Here is a 22,861-nt window from a genome sequence, read left to right on the forward strand (position 1 = left end):
TAGGGGTGGGCCTCGCTGCAGCCTGGCCGCCCCCAGCTGGCCTGATGTCCCCTCTCCTTCCTGCCCAGGTCTGGAGTGTGACTCCTACCGGCGCCCATGTGCGGTACCCCACCTCGGGGCCCTGGCTCCCAGGGTGTGTCCACTACTGGGAGGAACGGCTGGGGCCCTTCCCTACCACCTATTCCTATACCCCTTGGTCTGTCCCTGTAGTGCCCTGTGGTCCTGCCTTGGTCCCTGCCTCTCCCTGTGGGCAGCTTAGGCGCCATTTGCCCGGGAGCCCCCTGTGTGAGTGCAAGGCTATTGGATGGCTTCTCGCCCTCTCCCCACCCGGAGGGAGGAAAACAGCTCTGACCGTGAGCAGAGTCCACGGGAGGCGGTGGAGCTGCCCCTACCCCACCCCTTCATGGACTTTCTGCCCAGGATCAAGGTCGAGGTGTAGGGCAGGGAGGCGGGGCCTTCGTCAGGGGTGCCAGGTCACTCTGGGCACAGACAGTGGCAAGGCGGGCCTGGCAGGCAGCACCACCGCACCATCCCGGGCCCAGTGGAGGGGTGAGGACTGGAAGGGCAGTGGGGCCTTCCTCTTCCCTCCCCTCAGTCTCCTGGGCACAAGGTCAGAGCCATCCACCCCTCTGTCCTGTGTGACCCACCTTCTCCTGAGGCTGGGATCACAGGGGGCGTCACCCCTTAGCGGCAACGTAGAGCTGGTCTCCAGGCCCCTGCAGACAGTGGGCCTGGGCAATGGCATGCTCACAGCCCGGGTCTTCTCTGCCACATGGACTTTGTGACTTGGAGCACGTTCCTTCTTCCCTCTTCGTCTTGATTTCCTCATTTGGAAAATAGAAGGAAGGATGCCAGGCAGAGTCCACGGCTGGAAGTGTGCCGCTGTGCCCCTGTGGCCGGCCGGAGCCTTGGTGGATGTCGCTGAATGGGCCCTGCTCCTCTTCCCGTGGGGCCCTCAGACCTCAGAGTCTTTTTCAAGACAGGGCTGGCTCCAGGCACCCCCTCTCATGGCTCGGAGCTGGCTCTGGATCTTTGTGGCTGCGGAGCCCACAGTGCCAGGTGCCATATAAGCCTCATGAAGTTTGTGGCACGAATTCATGTGGTCAGCCAACTGATCCCCTCCGCCCCTCAGGTTCAGAAATGTGACGGGTGAGCCCGTTCCTTGCAAAGTTGATTTCTCAAATCGTGACCATGACTTGAATCCCCCTCGTTCTGGAGGCCGGTCCAGTTTCCAGGGAAGGGAAGTCCTGTGTGTCTAGCTCGGTGTCGGTTTCTGGGAGTGGGAGTAGATGGAGGGTCTGGGACTGTCCTCGAGGACTCTGTGGGCCAGCTGGAATCCCTGGGGGCCCTGGGTGGGAGCTGAGGCTGAGGCTTAAGGCTGGGGGGTGCCCCTGCCTGTGGAGAGGCCCCAGCAGTGCTCAGCGTGTTGGAGATGTGGCTGCCACCGGCTGCTGGACAGAGCCTGGGAGTCCTTGAACTCAGATTCCCAGATCGAGAGAGGGAGGGGTGCTCAGCCCCAGTGCCTGCCCTTGTTGGGGACCTGGGTCCTTCCTTTGCTGGTAAGCATGTCTTGTTGAAACTTGTAGCAGTGTGGGGGGTCAAGGCCAGCCACGAGGGAAGTAAGCGCCTCCCACCTGCCTGCTGTCTGTCCGTCCGCTCATCTGTCTGTCCGTCCGTCCATCCACATCCATCAGGCTCCTCCTGGCCACTAGGAAGGCCCAGTAGAGCCAGGCTTAGCCCTCAAGCGGGCAGTAGTGGTCTCTGGGGTCAGATGGCCTGGGATGGACCCCAGTGCTGCCACTTGATGGGATATGACCTTGGACCAGATGTTTTAACCCTCTTTGGGCCTTAGTTCTCTTACCTGTAAGGTATCCCTGACCCCAGTCTGGGGTGGAGATGGTGTGTGAGCGTGGTGGTGGGAGGAGGTACTGGAGACAGAAGGGACACGGAGGAGGCATTAGCGGCTCACCCTGGCATGCAGAGAGTTGGGGCTTTTGAATTGGGTCATGAAGGATGCGTAGGAGTTGGCCTGGGAAAAGCCAATGTCTCGTCCTCACACCTGTGTCTTCACTTTGCGTCGTCGAAGGTTTCCAGGGCAGAGCTCGCTGACTCTGCCTTCCCTTGCATCAGACAGCAGTGCGCCTCCCTCTGGGGGGTCGCCCAGAGACTCTTGGATGTCCTCGGAGCAGACGTAGAATGCAAAACTTGAACCTCTCCAAAAAGAAACGAGACAGGCGGGTTTCGTTCAGTTCAGGTGGCCGCGTGCCAGCCCTGAGAGGTGGCGGGGGAGAGATGGGTGACTGCGCCCCCAGTGCTCACGGAGGGCCCCTCTGTCCAGAGCCGCTCTGAGGATGCGACAGGCAGGTCCTTGCCCTCGTGGGCTGCCAGGCCAGCGGGGGAGATGGGCGGTCAGCGGCAGCCACAGACGACGTAGGGCTCAGGAAGGGCATGGAGGGAAACGCTGGGCAGTGACCACAGGGAGGGACAGAGGTGTCAGGAGCCCTGACAGAAGACAAGCATGTGGTTCTGCTGCACTGTCCCGGGGCCTCCCTGGGCCTCCCTCTGGCTGGTAGCACGGGCAGGTGTGTGGGGCACGGCCATCGCCAGGCATTCGACCCCTGCTGGCTCATTCTTGGCTCCCTGTGGCTGCCGTGGGACATGGTTTCTAAAGAACAAATGCCAGCTGTGGCGCTGAAAGGGCCTCCTCATGTCAGGGTGCCCCTGGCTGCAGGACACAGGCCACTTCTGGTCCCAGATTGACGGGCCTCCAGCCCAAGTGGCACCTGGGTCCCTCTGACCTGGGCTGGCATCCCCCAGGCCATGGGGTCACAGGGGAGGTCACTGCCACTCTTGCTGGCTGGGAGAGGCGTGTCCCCACGTGCGTCTGGCCGCAGTCAGTGGCCAGGACCTGCCTGCGTGTGGACAGTTAGGCCTCCTGCCTAGGAAGCAGTGATGCTTGCCGGCTGCTGGTGGGGGCAGGGGAGGGGCTGGCTGCCGGATCCCACGCAGCCTGGACGTGGCTGATAAGCTGTGAACTCATTATCGGAGGGGGCAGCTGGTGCCCCTCTCCCTGCAGCCGGCACCCCAGCCTTGCCCTGGGGCCAGACCCCTGCACTGTGCCCAGCCTTGCGGGTGAGACTGGGGGAGCGAGCAGGCCTCTGTTGGGACTTGGGAGTCTCCAGGGTCCCCCAGAGCCCAGAGATCCTCCCTCCAGGACTCTGGAGACAGCCGCCGTTCTGCCCTCCCTGCTGACCCCTCTGCCCTCCCTCAGGTCTGCCTGGCCGCCTTTCTGAGAACAAGGAGCCGATTGTTGTCACCACTGCTGTCTGCCTCCTGCTGTGGATGCCTTGCTTGGCGCTGGCAGTGCCCACACCGGCAGGGACCTGGGGACTTGGAGCCGGACCTAGGTCGCCGGCCGTGTGCCTGGTGTCGGGGCAGGGCTGGTGGTCACCCCCCCTGGGGTTGGCCCCGTGGGCTCAGGGCCCTGCCTCCCTGTGCCCTGTCCGTAGGGACCCTCTCATGCCCTCTGGCCAGCCTGGAGAGCTCTTGGCAGAAAGGCCAGGACTGAGGTGGCTGGCATGGCGCCTCCCGCGCTGTTCCTCCCTCCCTGCCTGGCCTTCAGGGGCGCGTCGTCCTCCCCAGACCCTCCTCTGTCTGCGTGTGAGCCCGTGAGCCTGTGTGGGCTTATGTGTGTGGCTGGGATTCCAGCCAGGGTTTGTGCGCGTGAGCCTCTGTCTGCGTGTGAGCCCGTGAGCCTGTGTGTGAGAGTGTGTGGGTGCCATGCCTGTGTGAGTGTGTGCCTGTGTGTGAGCCTGTGTGTGGGTGTGCATGCCCACGCCCTTGTGTGAGTGTGTGTGAGTCTGTGTGTGTGTGTGTGTGAGCCCGTGTGTGTGTGAGTCTCTGCATACCCATGGCCTTTTGTGAGCCTGTGTGTGTGAGCCTGTGCGTGTGTTTCTGTGTGAGTCTCTGTGTGTGTGAGCCTGTGCGTGTGTCTGTGTGTGTGCCTGTGTGTGTGTGAGCCTGTGTGTGTGTGTGTCTCTGTGTGTGTGCCTGTGTGTGTTTGAGCCTGTGTGTGTGTGTCTATGTGTGAGATCCCGTGTGTGTCTGTGCACACCCATGCCCTTGTGTGAGCCTGTGTGTATGAGTCTGTGTGTAAGCCTCTGTGTGTGTGTGTGTGTGAGTCTGTGTGTGTGTGAGCCCATGTGTGTGTGTCTGTGAACATCCATGCCCTTGTGTGAGCCTGTGTGTGTCTGTGTGTGAACCTGTGTGTATGTGAGTGTGCACGCCTGTGCTCTTGTGTGAGCCTGTCTGTGTGCACCCGTGCATGTGTGTTCCTCTGTGCACATCTGTGTCCATGTCTGAGCCTGTATCTGTGTGCACCCATGTCTGTGTCCCTCTGTCCCTGTCCCTGTGTGAGTGTGTATCCGTGTGCACTTGTGTCCTCGTGTCTCCCTGTGCCCGTGCTGTGTCGGCATGTGTGCCTGTGTGTGCTTCTGTGTGTCTTGTGCCCCACACCTTCTGATGGCTTGTGCCTGCGGGTCCAGGTTTGAGACTGGCCACTGCCCGTGCTGTCCGGCTCCCTCCTTAGCTAAGGGTCCTGAGGGCTCGGGGTCCAGGACAGGAGAATGAGAAGCTGTAGGGGGCTGTGGAGGGCTGCAGGCAGATATATGTTCTAGAAAGACTTTGGCCATCGTGGGGATGGTGGTTTGGGGCAGACCAGTGATGCCACCCACTGACCTTTCAGCCAGTTCCCAGGAAGTGTCACAGGGGTGATAATTGTCCAGCCAGGAGTGAGGGCCGAGGGGCTTTAGGAAGTGCCAGGGAGCACTCTGAAGCAGTATGTTTTGGTCTAAGTGGGGCTCACGTGGCACCGGCTCACTGCCTGCCCTCTGGCCTACAGCGTGGCAGGTATCACCGACCACCCGAAGCACTCAGATCCCTTTCTGCAGGCACCCAGGCAGACGGTCTCGGTGCATGAGCCTCGATGCACGCCTCGGCCCGCAGCTGCCTTCTTGAGCAATGCCAGCAGTGCCTAAGCCACATGCCGTCCAGGCTGAGCAGGTAGATTGGATGTGTGAGCTGTGGCCCAAGCGGTCCTCCCTGGCCCTCTAGCTGGGGTGTCTCAGCTCCGGGAGCAAGGAGCCTGTCTTCTGCGGAATTCTGCGCCCTGGGAGAATGAGCTGAGCCAATCCTGAAGCCAGGGTCAGTCACACACGCTTTGGTGCGAATGAGCCTCATGTGAACCCTGGAAAGGCCTCGCAGGAAAGGAGAGGAAGGAAGGCTTCCTCTAATTGTGTGGATGAGGAAATTGAGGTCTGAGAGCGGCATGGCTGGCAAGCGGGGCGAGCTGACAGCCAGGCTGTCTCCTGACCCTGGCCTCGTGCCCTCACCTCTTGACGGCCCACCTTGGGGCGGAGTGAGAGCACAGATGGGAGGGTCCTGGTGGGGACAGGGAGAGGTGGGTGGCTGGAGCTGTGACCGCAGGCCCCGCCGTGGGTGGTGGTACCTGGAGTGTGTGCCCAGCACAGCATGGCACGCTCCCTCGTTCCCTGCACCCCAGTGCTGATGAGGAGGCCGAGCTACAGATAGGGGCTCAGCTGCTTGCCCAATATCATGTGGCCAGTTAACAGCAGAGTCGGGATTTGAACCCAGATTCTTGGGACTCTTCTTTGAGCCACTTCCAGCCTGGGGTTCTGGCGTGTGGTTGGAGTCCTGGGGGCTGCTAGGGTGGGGGGACATTCCTCCTCTGGGAGGAACCTGGAGCCGAGCCCTCCCTGCTGGCTGGGGAGGGGCCTTGCTTCCTACACAAACAACCAGGCCTGGCTGGAGCCATTTTATTTTTATTTCCTATTTTTACTTCCCCGTTGGCTCTTTTTAGCAACTCTGGGTGAGATAGGCCCCCGCCCTCCAGTCTCCACCCGGCTTCCTGGCCCAGGCCAGGACCTTGGAGGAGGCGTGGGCATGGGTGGCCCAGGGTTGGGCTGGCTCGCAGCTTGGCCGGCACACACCTGGTGGCAGAGCTCCTCTCTTTCTGGGAGCTCCAGGGCGGCTGGCCTCTTCCCGCCCTCCATGGGGAGCACCATGGGGCATGCATGGTGGCAGGGGAATGTCTTGGTGTGTGACTGTTTGTTGCCACCCCTCCTCTGGGTCTTGGCCTGAGGTTGGAGTTTGGGAGGTAGAGGCACTGGGCGGTGTGGTCTTGGAGCTGGGTGCGTGACTGGCAGCGTCACTGCCTGGGGCCTGGCTGGGCAGGGCTGGGCTTGGGTTTGTTGAGGCTCTGCCCACTACTGGCCTGGCCCCACTTGCTGAGGGTCCGCTGTGCTCCAGGGTCTGTGAAGCCCAACCCTGGGGGTAGGGGCTGTCAGAGCATCCGGCTAGCTGGAGCCTGCCTGTGGTGGGTGTTGCTGGCTGGGGGACATGAAGACCCCGAATGAGGAGGCGTCTCCCTGAAGGCGCTCTGCTGGGCCCGGGGTGGGGGCTCTCGTGCTGGCATTTGGTGGGTAGTGAGTTCTGAACTGTGAGATCAGGCTGGAGAAAGCCCTGGACCCACTGTGGATCCCAGGCCAGAGTGAGGGCAGGGGCGGGGGTCCGGGTCGAGGACTAGCAAGCCACAGTGCACCAGGTGCCCCGGTACCAGCTTGTGCCAAGCCCATTGCCCTCCCAGAACCCTGGGGGAGGGAGTTGCCCTCATTTACAGAGGGGGCCTGGGCTCAGAGAGGCTGAGCCGATCTTCAAGGCCACACAGCTTGTGGGCATGGAGGGGCCGATCCTTGCCCTTTCCCTGCCAGGAAACTGAGGCACAGAGAGCAGGGGTCCCCCAGGTGGTCAGGCCCCAGAGGCTTGCACTTGGGATGGCGTGCTGTGCGCCCTCTTCCTGCCATCAGCGGGGGGCAGTGGGTTGGTGCAGGCAGAGTGGTAACAGCAAGCTGTGGGCAAGGGACTGCTTGGGAGCTGCTGTGAGCCCAGGCAGGTGGTGGGGCTGCGGGGCTGCGGGAGGAGGCCCCTGTGGTTCCCACAGGGCCATGTGTGGTCTCCAGGGCTGAGATGGCTGGTGTGGGCCGCCCTGACCTGGTGGGTTTGGGGGAACCTGGCCCCATAGGAGAGTGGACAGCGCCGCGGAGGAGGCTGCCTACCTGCCTTCCTGGCCCTTCCTGCTCTGGCTGGCTCAGCAGGTTGAGCGCAGGTGGTGGCTGTGGCCCTGCCACCACCACAGTGACCTTCCCTTTGTATGTGAGTGATGTGGGTGGCATGACTGCGGATGCAGGCACGTGTGGGTGCTGGGGATTGTCTGGTAATCCTTTGATTAGAGGCCAGGAAACCCAATCCCGCAGCCTAGGCAGTGGGGGGACCTCCTTCTAGAGAGGCCCCAGCAGATTATGGGATTTTCACCTGCCCAGCCCTGGGAGGTGTCTTGGACCCAGAGCATTTGGCCTTGGGAGGTGGGGAGGGGGTTCCTGCCCTGGAGCCAGGGAAGCTGTCTGCGGCCCACAGTTCAGGGCCCCACACAGACCTTTTACATGCTGTGTGACCTGGGGCAGCGTGTCTCTCTCTCTGAGTGTCGACTTTCTCATCTGTGACGTGGGGTGAGGGCACTTGCTGCCCAGGTGGTTGTGAGGGTTGACTGAAGTAAGGCCTGTCCTTCAGTTCTTGCCTGGGAGCAGGGAAGGCCCTGGCTGGGGTTGCCTCTGAACCTCAGTGTCTTTGAGGGCTGGGAGGAGGAGTTTCTTCTTCTGGGTTCTGGGGGTTCATGCAGGATTGCCCGTCAGCATCCTGCAGCCCCTGGAATAGGGGGCGCTCAGTGTAGGGCAAAGGAACGTGAGGAGGGCATGAGTGTTGTATCTCATGGGAAGAAGCATTTTTTTGGGAGGAGTGGTTGCAGGGGCAGCTAGTTCTGGAACCATCCTAGGACCTAGAAATTGCTCGGGGCCAGGAAGCGAGACCAGTCACTGGGTGCAACCTTGACATAGGCTTGAGGGGTCACGTCCCCTGCCCTGTCCCCATCTTGCTCAGTGGCCAGAGGAGAGACCGTGTGCACTTGGTGGACTGCCACGGGCCTGGGGGCCTCGGGACCAACCCTCCATCCGCCCGTCCCCAGCCGGGCGCGGCACTGAGCTGAGGGAGCCTGCGTTCTTCCTTCAAGCAGAGGATCTTCTGCAACTGTGGGGAAGAGTGTTTCTTCCCGGAAGGCGGGGCCAGCTGGCTGGGTCAGCAGATGGGCTCCTCTGGCGTCTTCTCACCTTCTGGCCGGTCATTGGCCCTCGTGGCCCTACCACAGTGGGGTGGGCATCTCCCCATAGGCCCTCCCCACAGGATGCAGCCCTTCCTCATGGGGCCTGGTCCTGCTGAGGTTCCCGGGGGCCGTGCCCTATGTGGCCCTACCTCTGTGCCACCTCTCAAACCGTTGCCTCTGCCTGGCGTGTGTGCCTGCTCTGCCCTTCTTTTTCCATCCTTGTAGGCCTGAGTCCAGCGTTCCCTGCGCTTGAAGCTGGCCCCAGGAACCTGGCAGGCCAGGGCCCATGCAGTACAAATGTGGACAGGTCTGCCCCCACCCTGCCCTGGGCCTCCCTTTTTCCCAGCCTCCTCTGGCACCGGCATGTGCGGAGGCTGTGGTGTGTCTCCTCCCTGGGTGGAGGAGTGGGTAGGGGGCTGGCTTTGCAGCTTGGGGTCTATCTAGCCTGGTGTCTGGAGAGACTTGTGGGGTGCAGCTTCCTGCCCTTGCCGCCGGAAGGGGCTGAGATTGGGGTCCCGCCCCTTTGCTCCTGACTCAGCAGCTGCAGGGTGGGGGAAACTGGAGGTTTCTTGACAAAAGCCCCAACCCTGGGCACCCGCCCAAGGCTTAGATTCCTCTTAAAAAGGTGGAAGTGGAGTCCTTGGTTCCTTTCTCTGGGGGCTCCCAACAGGAGGTTGGGACGGGGCTGGATCCCAGGCCCTGGGCCCTGGAGCCCTCTCCTCCCCACCTCCCGGGCCTCTGAGAACTGTGCTTCTCTGCTGCGTAGCGCCCTCTGTGGCTCCCCAGGGTGGAGTTCTCACTGCTGCCTGGCCACGGACGCCCCTTCATCCTCAGGAGCCAGGCAGGCCCCACCACCATACCCCTTAGCAACCAGCTTCCCACTCTGACCGGTGTCTGTCTGTGTGCTGCCTTCCGTAGGAGACTTTCTGAGCTTAGGTTCCCTCGACGCTCTATGGGCACTGGGCTTCCTGTCCCAACACACTGGTGGTAGTGATGGGACGCAGCCTCTGTGCGGGCCCTGTGCCTGGTGTGGACCCAGCAGAGTTGGGCAGCGGATGTAGAGTTGGGGAGGGGAGCAGTGACAACCATTCAGAGTGGGCTCTGCCTCCTGCACCCCTGGGCCGTGTGCCTGGGGACAGCGGCCAGAATCACGAGGCCCAGTGCTCGAGCTGCAGTGTGGATGGGTGGCTTCTCTACCCCAGACTCCAGCTCTCTCCAGCTCAGCGACTGTGGCAGCCCCTGGTCTGCTGGGACCACTGCCAGTGGCTGAGAAAATGAAAGTGGACGTGCCCTGGAGGTTATGGGCTTCAGGGTCCCCACCGGATTAGTGAGGATAACGTATCCCCCTCTAGCTGGTATTTGCACAGCCCACGGCTGTGCTGGCTCTGTGGAGGGCCAGTTGTCAGGTGCTCATGAAGTGTAGCTGCTGGGAAGGAGGTGGAAAGTTTGGGCCAAAGCCCTGATGGGTTTTTGTGTGCCCTTGGGTGGTCAGCAGTGGGGGTACCTGGTTGGTTCATTGCACTTCAGGCCCTACCCTGGCACTGGCATGGATCCTCGTGGAGGGTTCTGGAGTTTGGGGTTGGAGAAGCCTCAGCCCTGGCCTTGGTGGCCTCCATCAAGTAGAGACCAAGGCCACAGGCAGGACGGGGGCTCTGGCGGGAGCCGACATCACATGTCTGGCCTGGCTGCACCCACTAGGTGTTCATCCAGGAGCTGCTGGTAGCCCCGGCAGAGGCTGTCCCACCAGCTGCCTGCCTCCATTCTCCATAGGAACTTGTGAAACCTGGAACCGAAAAAGAGCCAAGGCAGGAGGGAGCAACTGAAGTTGAAATTAGCTGCTGCTATATCTCCCCAGCCCCAGCCGTGCCATTGTCAGTGCAAAATGCATGACGGGGAAGGTGAAAATAATCAAAGTCTTGACTCTCTGGCCCGGCTCATTCATGACTAAACACGTGTCAGTTCCCGGCACAGATGAACATGGAATGGGTACCCCCGGGTGGGACTGTGGCTGCTCCTGTGTCCAGATGTCCCCTCCTCCAGGAAGCCCTCCTTGATTTCCCCATTCAGGAGGTCCTCTCCTATACCTGTGTTTCCTGATACATGTGCGTCTTACGGTGTTCATATAGGGACAGTTGAGAGTCGGGGCAGCAGCCTAGGCCATTTCTGGGGGGTGGGGTCCAGGCGGGGTATGGCTGACAGCCCAGAGTGGTGTGGTATTGGGGGGCCACGCAGGGTCCCTCGGCTCTACCACTGCTGGCTCATTCTAAGCACCTGATCAGGACCATGCCGCCCTCCTCTTTAGTTCCTCCTGTTCCGCTGTGGTCCTAGGGGTGGAGTCCCAGCCCGGGACCTGGCGTTCATCCTTGCCCTGCCCTCCCTGCCCTCCCGCGGCTTGCTGGGGACCAGCTGTGCTGACTAATGTGATGTCTTCAAGCATCACAGCTTTGCACTTGCTGTCCCCTCCCCCAAATGCCCTTCTGCCGTTGCCCCTTCAGGTCTCCCTCGGCTGTCGGCTCATCCAGGAGCCTCCCCAGACCCCCAGCTGCCGTGGCCTCACCCCCACTGGTCCTTGCAGCTGGTTCTGCTTGTTCCTTCTGAGCACTCACCAGGTCCTGCCAGTGGCTGGCCGTTCCCGGGCGTGTTGGGGGCTCTCGTTAATCTTCTTGACCAGGACCTGGGCTCTGGGGACTAGGGGTGCCCAGGGACTGCAGGACCTGCCCTAGGTCCTGGCACTGCCCAGCTTCACATTAGTGGGGGAAAGAAGCGTGTGTCTGGGTGCTGTGGGTGGATGCCCCCAAGGGTGGAGCCCCCATTTTGGGGATGTCATGTACCTTCACCCCACTGTCTGCTCGCACTTGTGTGCTGCTGGAGTCTGAAGCCCAGGGTGGGACAAGGAGCTGCCTCTGAGGGAGGGTCCTCCTGGAGGCCCAGGGGCTTGAGGAGCCCTTGTCGGGACAGTGTGGGTTGGAAGAGTCACAGGTGGGACTGGCTGGGACCCCACCAGCGCTTCACTGCTCCCATCTTACGGAGGGGGAGGGCAAGGCTGGTGGGGGGCAGCTTGAGAGGCACTGCTTCCAGGCACCACATCCTGGACCTGGCCCTTGCGGGGAGGGCCCAGCTGTCACTGTGGAGGTGGCAGGCAGGTGGGAGTAGGGTGGTGGCCTTTCCATCACTGTGGAGGTGACAGGCGGGTGGGAGTGGGGTGGTGGCCTCTCTGTCCCTGTGGAGGTGACGGGCAAGGGTGGGATGGAGGCCTTGCCATCACTATGGGGGTGGCAGGCAGGTGGGGTTGGGGTGGGGACCTCACTGTCATCTGTGGGCAGGATGGGGCAGCCATAAGGAGAGCAGGTAGAGAAAGGGTTAAAGGGCCAAGGGAAGTAATAATGTTTCTAATTTTCCTGTGTAATTTAATGAAAATGTAAATTGCTGGGCAGATGACGCGCCCTGCCGCGGTGTTGACCAAGATGAATTGCGGGTGCTCGTGGTCAGCCTGCCTTTGTCTCTGCGCCCTGAGTGCAGCGCAGCTCCTCCATCTGCCTGGGAGGCAGACACCGTGCCGTCCACCCTGATGGGGGCCGCAGTGTCCGGGCTTCTGCCGAGCAGGAGGGGGGCCTGGTCAGTCAGAGCCAGCCCCTGCTGTGACCCCACACCCCTGTCCGGAGGAGCACAAGGCTGGGGGAGGACGGCCAGGGGCCTGCGTTGATGGGCAGGTTCCAGGTATGCGGAGGGTCACTGGCCAGCGTGGTTAGGGAAAGCCCTCCAGGGGGATGCTGCGGGTGGGCTTGTGCATGGGAAGGAGCAGCCGGTGGGGAGGTGGAGAAGGACCTCTCAGGCCAGGGGAACGGTGTGTGCAAAGGCCCCAGAGTGGGGCTCACTGGCAGGGGCTGGGGCGGTCAGTTCAGAGCTGGACATTGAGGTCTGGTGGCCAGGAGGGGGCTGGTGGGTGACAGAGCCAGGCAGGACATGGCCAGAGGTGCTGGGCCTGTCCTGACAGTGGTGAGCATCCTTCAGAGGCCGTGAGTGCTGAGTGAGGGTCCTGGCTGCCGGTGAGGATGGACCCCAGGGGCAGGAGGGGAGTCCGTGGCCACTTAGGAGGCAGAAGCAGAGGTGGTCATGGCCATGGCTGTGGGGATGGAGGAGCCGGTGGGTCTGGTTGCAGTTACAGCTGTGGCCAACAGGCCGGGAGAGAGGGCTTGGGGTGACCATGTGGTTTGGGCCTGCACAGTGGTGCTGTTTCTAGGGACATGAGGCACCAAGGGGAGTCGAGGGTGCCAGGCGCGGCAGTTGCGATTGAGGTCATGCAGGACCCCTGGCAGGTTACAAGAGCAGTGTGCATTGAATGCCAGAGCTCTGGGGGAGACCTGGAAGCCTCCCAGGAGGTGAAACCCCAGGGTCTGTGGTTGGAGCTTGGAACATTTTGGCGGCAGGACCAGCCAGGGTTTTGAGAAGGAGGACAGAGCAGCATTTGCTGGTGCAGCGGGCATCGTGGTGCGATGATCTTCAGGATGCAGGGCAGTGAGAGCCAGGTGCAGCTCCTCTGAGCTCAGGCTGGCTGAGAGGGTCCCTGTAGCCCAGTTTTGTCCCGAGGTCCCCCAGGGCCCATGTGGCTGCTTGTCCCCTGCTGCAGATGGGGAGGCCAGTCACGGGCAGAATGTTGATCTGATCCCGGGGGACGCAGGTGGCCGACACGTGGGTTGAGTCTTGGCTGAGTTCATCCAGGCTTGAACAGCCACCCTGCTGTGGCACTGCGATGGAGGGCTGGCTCCTGCCCAGTGCTTCCCGGCCTACGTACGCCCTGTCCTCGGGGTCCTAGGCTGCATGGCACCTGCCCATCCATCCGCTGTCAAAGGCATCACGTGTCCGCCATGTGCTGCCTCAGGCACAATGCAGGATTCGGTGGTCAGAAGACTTCCCGGACGCTGGACGTCGAGGTGGGTGAAACCGGGCCTGGGGTTGCAGTCCCTGAGGTAGAGCTGAATTTGGGTGTGTGTGGCTTTGAAACACCCACGACCCCCAGACCTTGGCAGGACCTTACTTTGGACACCAGCTCTGTACCACCTGAGTGCCAACCGTGGCGTTGCGCCAGCTGGGCCTTGAGACTCGGGAGGGGCTGGCATATCCGAGACCCAGTTCTGTCACTTGCAGTGAAGGGCTGGTCCCCGCTGAGAAGGCTGGTGATGCATGGTGGGTACGCTGCTTCCCGGGAGGGGACTTGTGCTGTCCCTGAACTCACCGAGGGCCAGGAGGGGTCCTGAACACTGCCCTGCCTCATGAGGGCCTGCACAGAGGGTCTTGCAGAAGAAGGGTCTGGCTGGGCCTGCAGACCCCAACTCCCTGCACCAGCCTGGCCCCGAGCTCCCACTTCCTCATGCTGGGCACATGGGGAGCCCTGCTGACCCCTGTTCTGCACCTGGACAGCCGGGTGTCATTGGTGGGCCTGTTGGGCCGGGGCGCCTCGGCCTGGTGGAGGGCTTCGCCGAGCTTGGTGGCAGGGAGGGAAGGCCTCTCCACGGGGAGCAGGAGGGAGGAGAGGGACAGGCTGGTGGGTCGGGGAAGAGAAGAGGCTGGCTCAGGTGGGCTGGGGTCTTCAGCTGCCACACCTGGCAGTGGTGCTGCGGGGGTGGCTCGGCCCTGAAGCTCGTGGCGGGCAGGAGTGTGCACGGACAGGGACCCAGCAACTTGGCGAGCATGGGCCAGACAGGGGCAGGGTTCTCAGGTGGCCCCCATGAGTGGGTGACATCAGGAGACCCCGCATCAGGCAAGGTTACCTGTGTGCCTGCTGACTTGTCTCATGAGGTTTGGGGACTTTAGTTCAAGCTGAATGCCTGTCTCCCTGGAGGCGCAGGGCTGTGCACAGGATTCCCCAGGGCTGGGCCAGCCTGGCGGTGTCCACCCAGGAAGGCTGCTTGGAGGAGGGGCAGAGCTGGGCTAGCTCGGGTGGGCGGGCGGGTGCCGCAGGCTCTCCTGTGGTAGGAGTCGGGTGGACAGTTTGCACGATCTCATCCTGCCTGTGACACCTTCCTCTCCTCCTGTTTGGGTCAGCTCCTGGCTGCAGCTGGTGTCTGGAGGTCCCCAGGCACTGCTGGGACCCCTTCCCCAAGCCCAGGACCCCTGATTCATGCCTCTTTCCAGAGCACTTGCTGGCCTATGGTCAGGAAGAGCAGACCCGCCAGATGGCTGTGTGTGTGTGTAGGGGGGGGTGGAAGGTGGGGGTACAGCTGCCCAGAGATGCCAGGAGATGTCATGCCGATCGCATGCTTTGATTAAACAGCCTGTCTGGGGCCGAGTGGGCAGCTGGTCAGTGTCAGGCTCCCAGGGCAGGATGTATGGAAACCACTGGGGGAGGGAGGAACTGGCCCCAGAGAGCCAGTGGGGCTGGGGCCGCGGAGTGGCCTGAACACAGTGCTGGCATCGCTCTCTGGCCCCCGCCTCGCCAGCTGCAGCCTTGGAAGGCCCTTTGCCCCTCCAAGCCTCAGTTTCCTTTTCTGTAAGGGGCATGGCTGTCCTCGCCCCCTGGGTGGTGGCTCAGAGCTGGACATGCTGTGAAGTAGCCACCTGCGTGGCGTGCTGGTGGCTGGGGTCCCCAGGGGCTGCCCGTGGGCGGTCAGCTCCATTCGGAGGCCTGTGGTTTCCGGCTAGTGTCTTCCTTCGGGCACAGCAGGCCCCAGACGATGCCGCATGAGGACTGTGTGGGCCTCTGTGCTGTGCCCTGTGCTGTGCTCACCCACACGGGGAGCCTGAGGCACTGCCCAGTGGGGCCTCCCTGGCCCAGCTCCACCCTGCCCTTCCCCACGGAGAAGCCAGCCTCCCCCGCAGGAGCAGCTCCATCTGGGGCATTCTCATGCCTTCTGCCGAGGTGGGTGGGGGTGGGGATTGGGCCAGTGGCTCTGCTTTCCTCCCCACCTGTCCCCACTGCACGAGGAGATGCATTCGAGGGGCTGAGCGGCTGAGCCTGGGGCCGGCCTGGCCTGGATGGTGCCTCCCCTGCCGCCTTGTCCTCATCTGTACCCAGGGCCAACGTCAGCACCTCGGCTGTGTGATGGTGTGGAGGCCACCTGTCCAGCACCCACAAGAGGCCCTGTGCCTCAGCAAGGGGGGGCTGAGCATCCCTCACCTGCCTAAGTGTCCTTTCCTATAACATGGAGCACCGGCCTCAGACTTCATGGGAAGTGCGTGTGGCCTCAAGGTACAAACACCGCATTGTGAGGAAGCGCTGGCTGCAGGGGGCTGAGCCCTCTGAATGCTTTGCTTAGGAAATCAGAATGTTGGGGCCCCCTTCTCCCACACAGGCCAGGCTTGGAGCCCGCAGAGTCTGAAGAGGTGGCAGGTCTGGGGCTAGGAGGCCCGGCGGGAAATCACAGGAGGCCTTGGGCGAGTGCCTGGCCCTGTGGGCTGCAGCGTCCTCCTCAGAGAAGGGGCAGTCGGGAGGTCACTCGAAAGGGGCCCTATGCCAGCAGCGGGCAGAGGGGAGGGCAAAGTGGTGGTCCCGGGCCCGGCAGGCTGGTTGTGAGGCAGGCTGGTCTCCAGTCCCTGCCTGCATTGCTCTGTTCCTCCAGACAGTCCTGACCCCAGCACCCTAAACTCTGCGTCTTCCCATGTGGGGAGCCCCAATAGGGCAGGGATCCTTCACCTCAGGAAACGCAATCCCTTCCCTGGCCTGTGAATATTTCATCAGCAGATTAAAAATTGAAGCTGAACCTCCCTGCTCCCCCGGGAGGGTGGAGGAGGGTGCCGGCTCCGTTTCAGGCCGGTTTGAGTATTTTTCTTGATAATGGAGCTGCGTCAATTAGAAAATGACATTGCTGGTTAAAATGCCGTTCTGCGGCCCTCTTTAATTAAGGCCGAGATGTAATAACCAATCCGCTGCTGCGAACTTGTTTTTAACCATCAGAACGCGAGGTGAATGACATGGAGTTGGGTTGATCAGAGGCGGGTGTGCGGGGCCTCGGAGAGATTTATGGAGGCCACGCAGCAGCTGCGGCTCTGGCGGGGCGTGGGGTGTGCCAGTGTGTGTTGGGTCAGATGGGTGCTCTGTTCTGTGTGCACGTGTGCGTGCATGTGGCATATGTGTGTTGGGACCAGAAGGGCCTGGGGGCTGAGGTTGAGAGTCCTACCAAGTTTGCCTGCATGGGTCATGGTGCTGGAGCCAGAGGGCGGCTCGGGGCAGCCCGGGGAGGGAGCGAGGCTGCACAGGCTGCGGGAGTCAGAGGCTGTCGAAGGCAGAGTCGGGCTGGGGTGCAGCAAGGGGAGGGTTCTGGGCATGGGATGAGGATGACAGCGCGGCCCAGGAGCCCCTGTGGGTTTGATGGTGCCTGATGAGATGAGGAAAGGGGCAGACTGACTCTGCGCCTCCTGGGGTGCCTGGAAAACCCTGTGGAGGTGCTTGGAGGGCGAGGGGAGGGGAGCAGGGAGGTGGTGTCTGGCCATCCCCTCAGGTGTCTGAAGGGTGAGTACGGGAAGGGGCTGCCTCGGGGACCCTGGATGAGTCTGGGGCATGAGGAAGCCGGAGGGGCCACAATCCTTCCCTGCTTCTGAGCAGGGGCCCTGCTCTAGGCCCCAGGTGGGCAGCACAGGACCTGGTGGGGCTGTCCTGCCCTCCCTGCCTCGCCCCTGCCCAGCAGTGGGCAGCAGTGGTCACCCGGCAGTGTGCAGACTGTGTGGGAACTGGCGTCTGTCCGGACCACCCAGCCTCCTGCTGGCCCCGCTTTCCTTTGGTGGGACTGAAGATGCACCCTGGCTGAGCCCTGCAGCTCCCGGGGTGCTGGCTTGACACAGAGGGTCAGCTGCCCCAAGGAAACGAGGTCAGGGCTTGCCTGGGACTATCTGGGGCGGGCAGTGTGGGGGCCAGCATGGGGCGGGCTCCACAGCTGACGGCTCGCATGCCTGTCTGGGCTGTGTTGGGTCTCGCTTGAGGTTGGAGCGGTCTCCCTTTGGGGACATCCAGGGCTCTTGGGTCTCTCTTTGGCAGGGAATCAGGAGCCCTGGAGACATGGGAGTTCTCTCCTGCTTCCTTGGTGTGAGGAAGTACGTCCTCAGCCTGCTCTTCTCTCCTTGGGGACACTTGGCCCTGCCTTCTGGTGCCCACTTGGAAAGCCAGCTGGGGGCTGTGACGTTTGTTGACACCCTCCCACCACCTGTGCTCTCTGGGCTGGCCTCTGGGGGTGCAGGCTGGGGGGATGAGCCACCCCAGGTACAGGGTCCCCTTCTGGAGGGGGGAGGAGGGGCTGGGGCTGCTGGTGTGGCTGGGAGGGGCAGGCCCATAACTGGGAGGTTCTGGGGCTTGAGGAAGAATCCCAACTTTTACTTTTGAAACAAGAGCAAACAGCAAATTGAGCTCTCCCGGCTGTGGAGGAGGTGGGCTTGTTTTCTTCGGTGGATTTCCTGGAGTCCTTCTCAGGGGTATCCCTGGTGTGCAGAGGTGGGATCTCTGATGGCCCATGGTTGTAGGAGGCCTTGGGCCAGCATACTGGAGAGTGGGAAGGCAGGTGGTCTGGGAAGGTGGTGAGTGCACATGTGTGCATGTGTGTGCACGGCCCCATGCATGTACACCGCACGTGTATGCACATTAAGCTGGTGTCCCGTCATGTGGCCCGGCCACAGGCATCCTTCACTTTGAGCAAACCGTCACTTACTTTCAAAGGCGTGTTCATTGCCCAGTGGTGCCCCAGCAGCTTCCACGGCCCCACGAGTCCACGAGCCCCTGTACCTCCAACACTGCTTCTCCCCACAGCTAGCGGGGAGGACGTTGGCAGCTTTTCTGCCTCCTCCTGCTTTCCCCAGGGTGGCAGGGCAGAGGTGCCCTTGGGGTGGGGGTGCCAGGCCCTGGCAGGCAGGAGAGGGAACTGCTGTCTCCTCATGCTACCCATGGGCCTGGTTGGCCTCCAGGCCTGGGATGTCCCGTTGGGGCCGTGCCTGTTGGGTGTGTACCTGACTTCAGGCTGAGAATCTGGTGGGACTCCAGCAGCCGTACTCATCCACGAGCCCTGCTGGCGGTGAGCTCGGACAGCCTGGCTGCATTTGGGGAACGTGTCCCCAAGGCTGGTGGTGATGGGACTGTGGGTGGATGAGAGCTAAGGGTGCCTGGTAGCTGTTCACTGCGGATGGAGGGGGCCACAAGCTCCTGGGGAAAGGGGGCAGAGGCAAAGACGGAGCCTAGACTTCACTGTTGCCACCATAAAATAACACTTAGGTCCATGCCTGGGAAAGCCTAGAGGTGCATTCCAGCCTTTGTGTCTCTTCTGACGGATGGGATGGGGTGCCTGGGTCCCAGCAGGCACCAGCAGGGAAGGTGGGTTGGTGGATTGGTGATGTCTGCAAGGAGGGCTGTGGGGCACTTCTGCGTGCCGAGTGCTCCCATCCTGGCCCTGCGGTCTCTGCGGCTAATCTAATGTCTCCCTTCTACCGGGAGCTTAGTACCGCAGCTGCGTGTGTTTTCACTGTGACTTCTGCAGAATTTTCTGCCCATACTGCTGGCTCTTCTGGGTCCCCCTCCTTGGACAGTGTTGGCGTGAGGAGGTGGTCGGTGCGTGTGTGGTGGTGGAACGAATGAACTCACCCGGGTTGGAGCCAGCCCCACACTGCCGTGGCTTAGTGGGTCTCACCTGGGCTGCCCATCAGGCACTATTGAAGATGAGGAGCTTTTAAGATTCCTGGTACCCAGGCCACACCCCAGACCCATCAGATCGGCAGCCGTGGGGGTGGTGCCTGGGCACCAGGGCTCCCTGGTGATTCTGTTGTGCCCCAGGGTGAGCCCTGCTGGTGGAGATGGCCTGGGCCGGGCATTCCCAGGGTTCCTCCTGCAGCTGTGCTGTGCACTGGCCTTCGCTGTAAGACTGAAATGTTCAGAGGCCGTGTTGTTGCTCGAAGTCTCAGATCTGGGCCAAACCTGCCTCCGCTGTCTTTGGCCCTCCAGGCTCCCCAGGCTGCAATTGTCCTCGTCCTGGATTTGCCTCTCCCCGTCCCATAGGCCTGTGCACTCCCAGTCCCCTAAGAGCCAGTGGAGCTGGCTTAGGGATGGAGGGACTGAGAAGCCACTGGGAAGCCGTGGTTGGGAGTCAGGGAGCCTGTCCTGGAGTTCTGGGGTGTCTGGAGCAGAGGGGCTCTGGGAGACTGCATGAGCAGGGCCTCTGGTCTAGAAGTGGTCAGGACCATGATCCCAGGAGGCATATACATCCCATCTCCTGCAGGGATGCGGTGGCTCAGCTCCAATTCTGCCCACGTTGGCTTTTGGGGTTCAAGGTGGGGCTGGGGCTGGGCCACCCCATCTCTGCAGGCACATCTCTGCTGGCGTTTGTCCTCACCTGTGGGAAATGCAGGCCCAGTTGTCAGAAGCTGTGCTGTGGGTGCCAGGTGTATGAGAAGTACCTAGTGTGCCTGGGCCCGGCATGGGCATCTCTGTGTCTCTTTGCGCTCCCCGGCCAGGCCAGGCACTGTTAACTGAACAGCAAACAGTAAAAAGCAGCCTGACCCTTGGACAGATCCCCCGACTCCTTCCCAGCTTCAGTTTCCTGATATGCTGGTCTCCGAAAAGCTGGGAGGGTGAACAGAGATGAAGCTGACAGAGCTCACCTGCAGCTCAGTCAGCGCCGGGAACTGCTAGTTGTTATTTTTGGTTACTTTTTCCTTGCCTGGGCTTCACTTCTCAGGGTGGGTTGGGAGGGAGAGGCAGTGGCTCAGAATTACAGTGGAGGGGTGGGGCAGTAGAGTCCGGCAGGGAGGGGCACCACTGTCCACAGACAGGTTTTCAAAGCTGCCCTCTGCAGCCAGGCTGAGGACCCAGAGGCCGGGGAGCTGTGTGCACCCCCGCTGGGTGGGGGAGGTCCTGGGCCTGCTCCTCTGGAGTGTTCAGCTTGGAACGCAGCCTTGCCACACGTTGGAGGCAGGTAGGGACCTGGCCCGTTGTGCAACCTGCAGCTGTGCAGGAGAATTCCTCCCAGGGCCCTGGGCTCACCCTGCCCTGGAGTCTGCATTTTTCGGAAAGCTCCGCAGGTACCCTCTCAGTGGGTCAGAGGCTTTGAGGAGGTCAGGGTCTGCGCCCAGGTGTCAGACAAGCCCTGGGGGAGGGCAGCTGAGGGGGTGGGGGGCAGCTCCCTGCCCTCGGGATGGCCGCTGGGCCCAGACTGCCAAGAGTAGCGGCAGGGAGGTGCTTCCACGACGCCCTCACTGTGGGATCTGGCTTGGGCCTGTCTCAGGCCAGGCCTCCTTTCCCTGGTGACCTGGAAAAGCATGGACTCTGCTGGCATGTCCTTCCCTCCTGCCCCTGCCAGGTGGAGCAGGGTGGGGCCTTTGGGGAAGCTGCCTCACCCTCACCTGGCTTCCTTGCCCCAGCCCTGCAAGGGAGGGGAACTGTGTCAGGCTCTCGTAGGTGACTCTCCCTGGGGGAGTTCTGGGGCCTTGGGTAGGTCACCTCATCAACCTCAGCCTTGCTCTCCTCATTGGTAAAAAGCGGGGAAGAGTTTCTACCTTGGATTTTGGTAAGGGGGAGCCATTGTTTAGCTCCCACCGGGAACACACCTGGGATGGCCTTGGGCTGGGGATTGCATGCTGGCCGGGCCGGGGAGCCAGGAGTTGCTGCCTGTGCTCCTGCAATGCCCACCAGGGCTTTCGGGGTATATAGAGCAGCACGGTCTGCGGGATGGAGGCCCTTCCTGCTGACACAGGAGGCTGGGGAAGGTCCGTGGCTGGAGAAGGTCCGTGCCTTGCCCAGAAGTGTGTCTTATCACCAAGAGATGGCCCGGTGCACTGAGCACCTACTGTATGCTAGCACTGCGGTGGCCGTCCTGCTCAGCGGCTCTTGGATTAGCCATCCTTGGCTGCCTGCAGGGGAGGACGAGTGTTCTCACCGTTGTCCTGCTATGGAGGGGAAGGTGACAAGCTTCTCTGGTGGCACCTGTGCCTCAAAGTGTTGGGAAAGGGTGGTTTTCCCAGGTGGGGGCCCCTGCCCTGCCCCAGCCTCACCCTGCCTGAGGCCCTGCTCAGCCACCACCCTCGATGGCCCTGGTAGAAAGTGTCTCCCGACACCTCCGCACCCTGCCTGTCTCCCAGCCTCAGCAGCCCTGGAGGTGGCCCAAGGCCCATGCCCATGCCCAGTGCTGGGCACCCCCAGGAAGCTCAGAGGCCCCCAGGCAGAGCCGGGGAGGCGTGAAGGCATAGCCAGGGCAGAAGCAGAACAAAAGAAAAGAAAAAAATCCACCCCCAAACCCACCCAGCCCACACCCTGAATCTCCTTATCTGTGTCTCCGCAGCCTGTTGCAATTGCCTGCTCTGAGTGGGTTGAGAAATTCGATGGAGCAGATAGTTGCCCAGGCACTGAGGCGTCTAGGGCGGTTGGACAGGTTTGGCTCCTGCCCCGGGTGGAGGGCCCTTCTCCAGAGCCCGGAGCAGAAACCTGGCCAGAGTTCGCTGCTGAGCGGGCTGCAGCCTCCCGCATCCTCACCTGGGCTCCCTGCAGGTTACTGGGAAAAGGGGACTTTCAGGGCCAGGGGCAGGGGATTGCACAGAGCTGATTCGCACCTTGGCCCCTCTGCTGTAGCCGCGTGAAGTCAGGCGCTTTGTGGGCCTCAGATTTCTCGCCTGTGCAGGGGGTTGGGGGATGTGGAGTTGGTGAGGTCCGTATGTCTACGAGGACTGTCCACGCCACGAGCACAGTGGGGGAGTCGTGGGTGGAGGGTGGGAGACCCCCAGACCTGAGTCAGCCCCTCAGAGAGCCTTGGCCCTGGGTTCGAGGCCAAGGGTTCGGCTGTGGTTTGTGCAGTCCCAAGCAGAAAGGCGAGGTCTTTGCTAGGGAATGCCCTGCTTAACCAGTCAGATATGTTACCCAGAACCTTCCAGAACACAAACATGCACCAGAGGTAAGCAGAATTGGCCACCCTCGGGGCAGAGCACCCGGGAAATTACGTGTTCTTAGAAAATTATGTGTAAATCACGGTTTCTTCATAAGTTTGTTTATTGGTTTTTCCCTGGCAACCTTCACACTGTCTGATCCTAGGGTGAGGCCATGGGGGCAGTCTACAGCGGACCCTGTGGGCAAGGGGAGGAGCCACAGCAGAGGAGGAGGAGGAGGAGGAGGGCAGCATCCCGCCTGGGGCCTGGGGTGCCCCCACAGAACACGGGGACATGGGATGAGAGGCGTACCCACTGTGCTCCCCGACATCCCTGCTGCTCGCTGGCCCGAGGGCTGGCTCCTGCAGCACCATCTCCACGGGAGGCCGTGGGCCGCTTCCAAGAGGGCTGCTGCTGGGTGTGCCACCCAGGCCCCGGCCACCTGCCGAGGACGGAGCCAGGCGTGAGCCCGTGCAGGACAGAGTGGAAACACCGAGTTCTGCCTGCACAGTCCTTGGGCCCTTGCTGGAGGGCTCTGGCTCACGAGCCAGGAGATGGGCACCAGTCCTGTTAGGCCGCCACCATCCACTTTCCTCCGGCAGCAGGCAGGCAGGCAGGCAGGCAGGAGCCACAGCTCAGGGCCAACAGGCCTCCCTCAGCCTGGGTAGGGTGGAGCTGGAGGGAGGGCTTCCTGGGGGAGGTAACAGGGAACATATGGGGAACAGCATATGCAAAGGCCCAGAGCTGGGAGAGTTCCGGGGCCTGTAATGGGGAGGTCAGTAGCTGAGCCTGTGCAGTCCTCAGAGGCCT

General features: G+C 62.0%; 1 protein-coding gene across 1 annotated transcript in view, besides 7 other annotated features; it reads left to right on the top strand.

Annotated features, from left to right (window-relative positions):
* RXRA (retinoid X receptor alpha) overlaps positions 1–22,861 on the top strand; it is a 114,131-nt gene that overhangs the window by 9,200 nt on the left and 82,070 nt on the right. The window lies entirely within an intron of this gene.
* Positions 8,693–8,837: an enhancer, noted in NCBI's record as "145 bp enhancer 298 fragment used in the MPRA reporter construct; PK_construct_3386". NCBI's record gives its function as "activates an SV40 promoter by MPRA in K562 cells {active_cell/tissue: K562}" and the evidence as "EXISTENCE:reporter gene assay evidence [ECO:0000049][PMID:23512712]".
* Positions 8,760–8,770: a transcriptional cis regulatory region, noted in NCBI's record as "NFE2L2 motif; enhancer activity is reduced when this motif is scrambled". NCBI's record gives its function as "necessary for full MPRA enhancer 298 activity {active_cell/tissue: K562}" and the evidence as "EXISTENCE:site-directed mutagenesis evidence [ECO:0005528][PMID:23512712]".
* Positions 10,111–10,682: an enhancer, noted in NCBI's record as "H3K4me1 hESC enhancer chr9:137237611-137238182 (GRCh37/hg19 assembly coordinates)". NCBI's record gives its function as "activates a minimal SCP1, AML or CMV promoter by ChIP-STARR-seq in naive H9 embryonic stem cells {active_cell/tissue: H9 hESC(naive)}" and the evidence as "EXISTENCE:reporter gene assay evidence [ECO:0000049][PMID:30033119]".
* Positions 14,253–15,039: an enhancer, noted in NCBI's record as "H3K27ac-H3K4me1 hESC enhancer chr9:137241753-137242539 (GRCh37/hg19 assembly coordinates)". NCBI's record gives its function as "activates a minimal SCP1, AML or CMV promoter by ChIP-STARR-seq in primed H9 embryonic stem cells {active_cell/tissue: H9 hESC(primed)}" and the evidence as "EXISTENCE:reporter gene assay evidence [ECO:0000049][PMID:30033119]".
* Positions 15,040–15,825: an enhancer, noted in NCBI's record as "H3K27ac-H3K4me1 hESC enhancer chr9:137242540-137243325 (GRCh37/hg19 assembly coordinates)". NCBI's record gives its function as "activates a minimal SCP1, AML or CMV promoter by ChIP-STARR-seq in primed H9 embryonic stem cells {active_cell/tissue: H9 hESC(primed)}" and the evidence as "EXISTENCE:reporter gene assay evidence [ECO:0000049][PMID:30033119]".
* Positions 15,826–16,612: an enhancer, noted in NCBI's record as "H3K4me1 hESC enhancer chr9:137243326-137244112 (GRCh37/hg19 assembly coordinates)". NCBI's record gives its function as "activates a minimal SCP1, AML or CMV promoter by ChIP-STARR-seq in naive and primed H9 embryonic stem cells {active_cell/tissue: H9 hESC(naive and primed)}" and the evidence as "EXISTENCE:reporter gene assay evidence [ECO:0000049][PMID:30033119]".
* Positions 16,613–17,397: an enhancer, noted in NCBI's record as "H3K4me1 hESC enhancer chr9:137244113-137244897 (GRCh37/hg19 assembly coordinates)". NCBI's record gives its function as "activates a minimal SCP1, AML or CMV promoter by ChIP-STARR-seq in primed H9 embryonic stem cells {active_cell/tissue: H9 hESC(primed)}" and the evidence as "EXISTENCE:reporter gene assay evidence [ECO:0000049][PMID:30033119]".

This window comes from Homo sapiens, chromosome 9 (assembly GCF_000001405.40).
Source record: "Homo sapiens chromosome 9, GRCh38.p14 Primary Assembly".
Classification (NCBI taxonomy): Eukaryota; Metazoa; Chordata; class Mammalia; order Primates; family Hominidae; genus Homo; species Homo sapiens.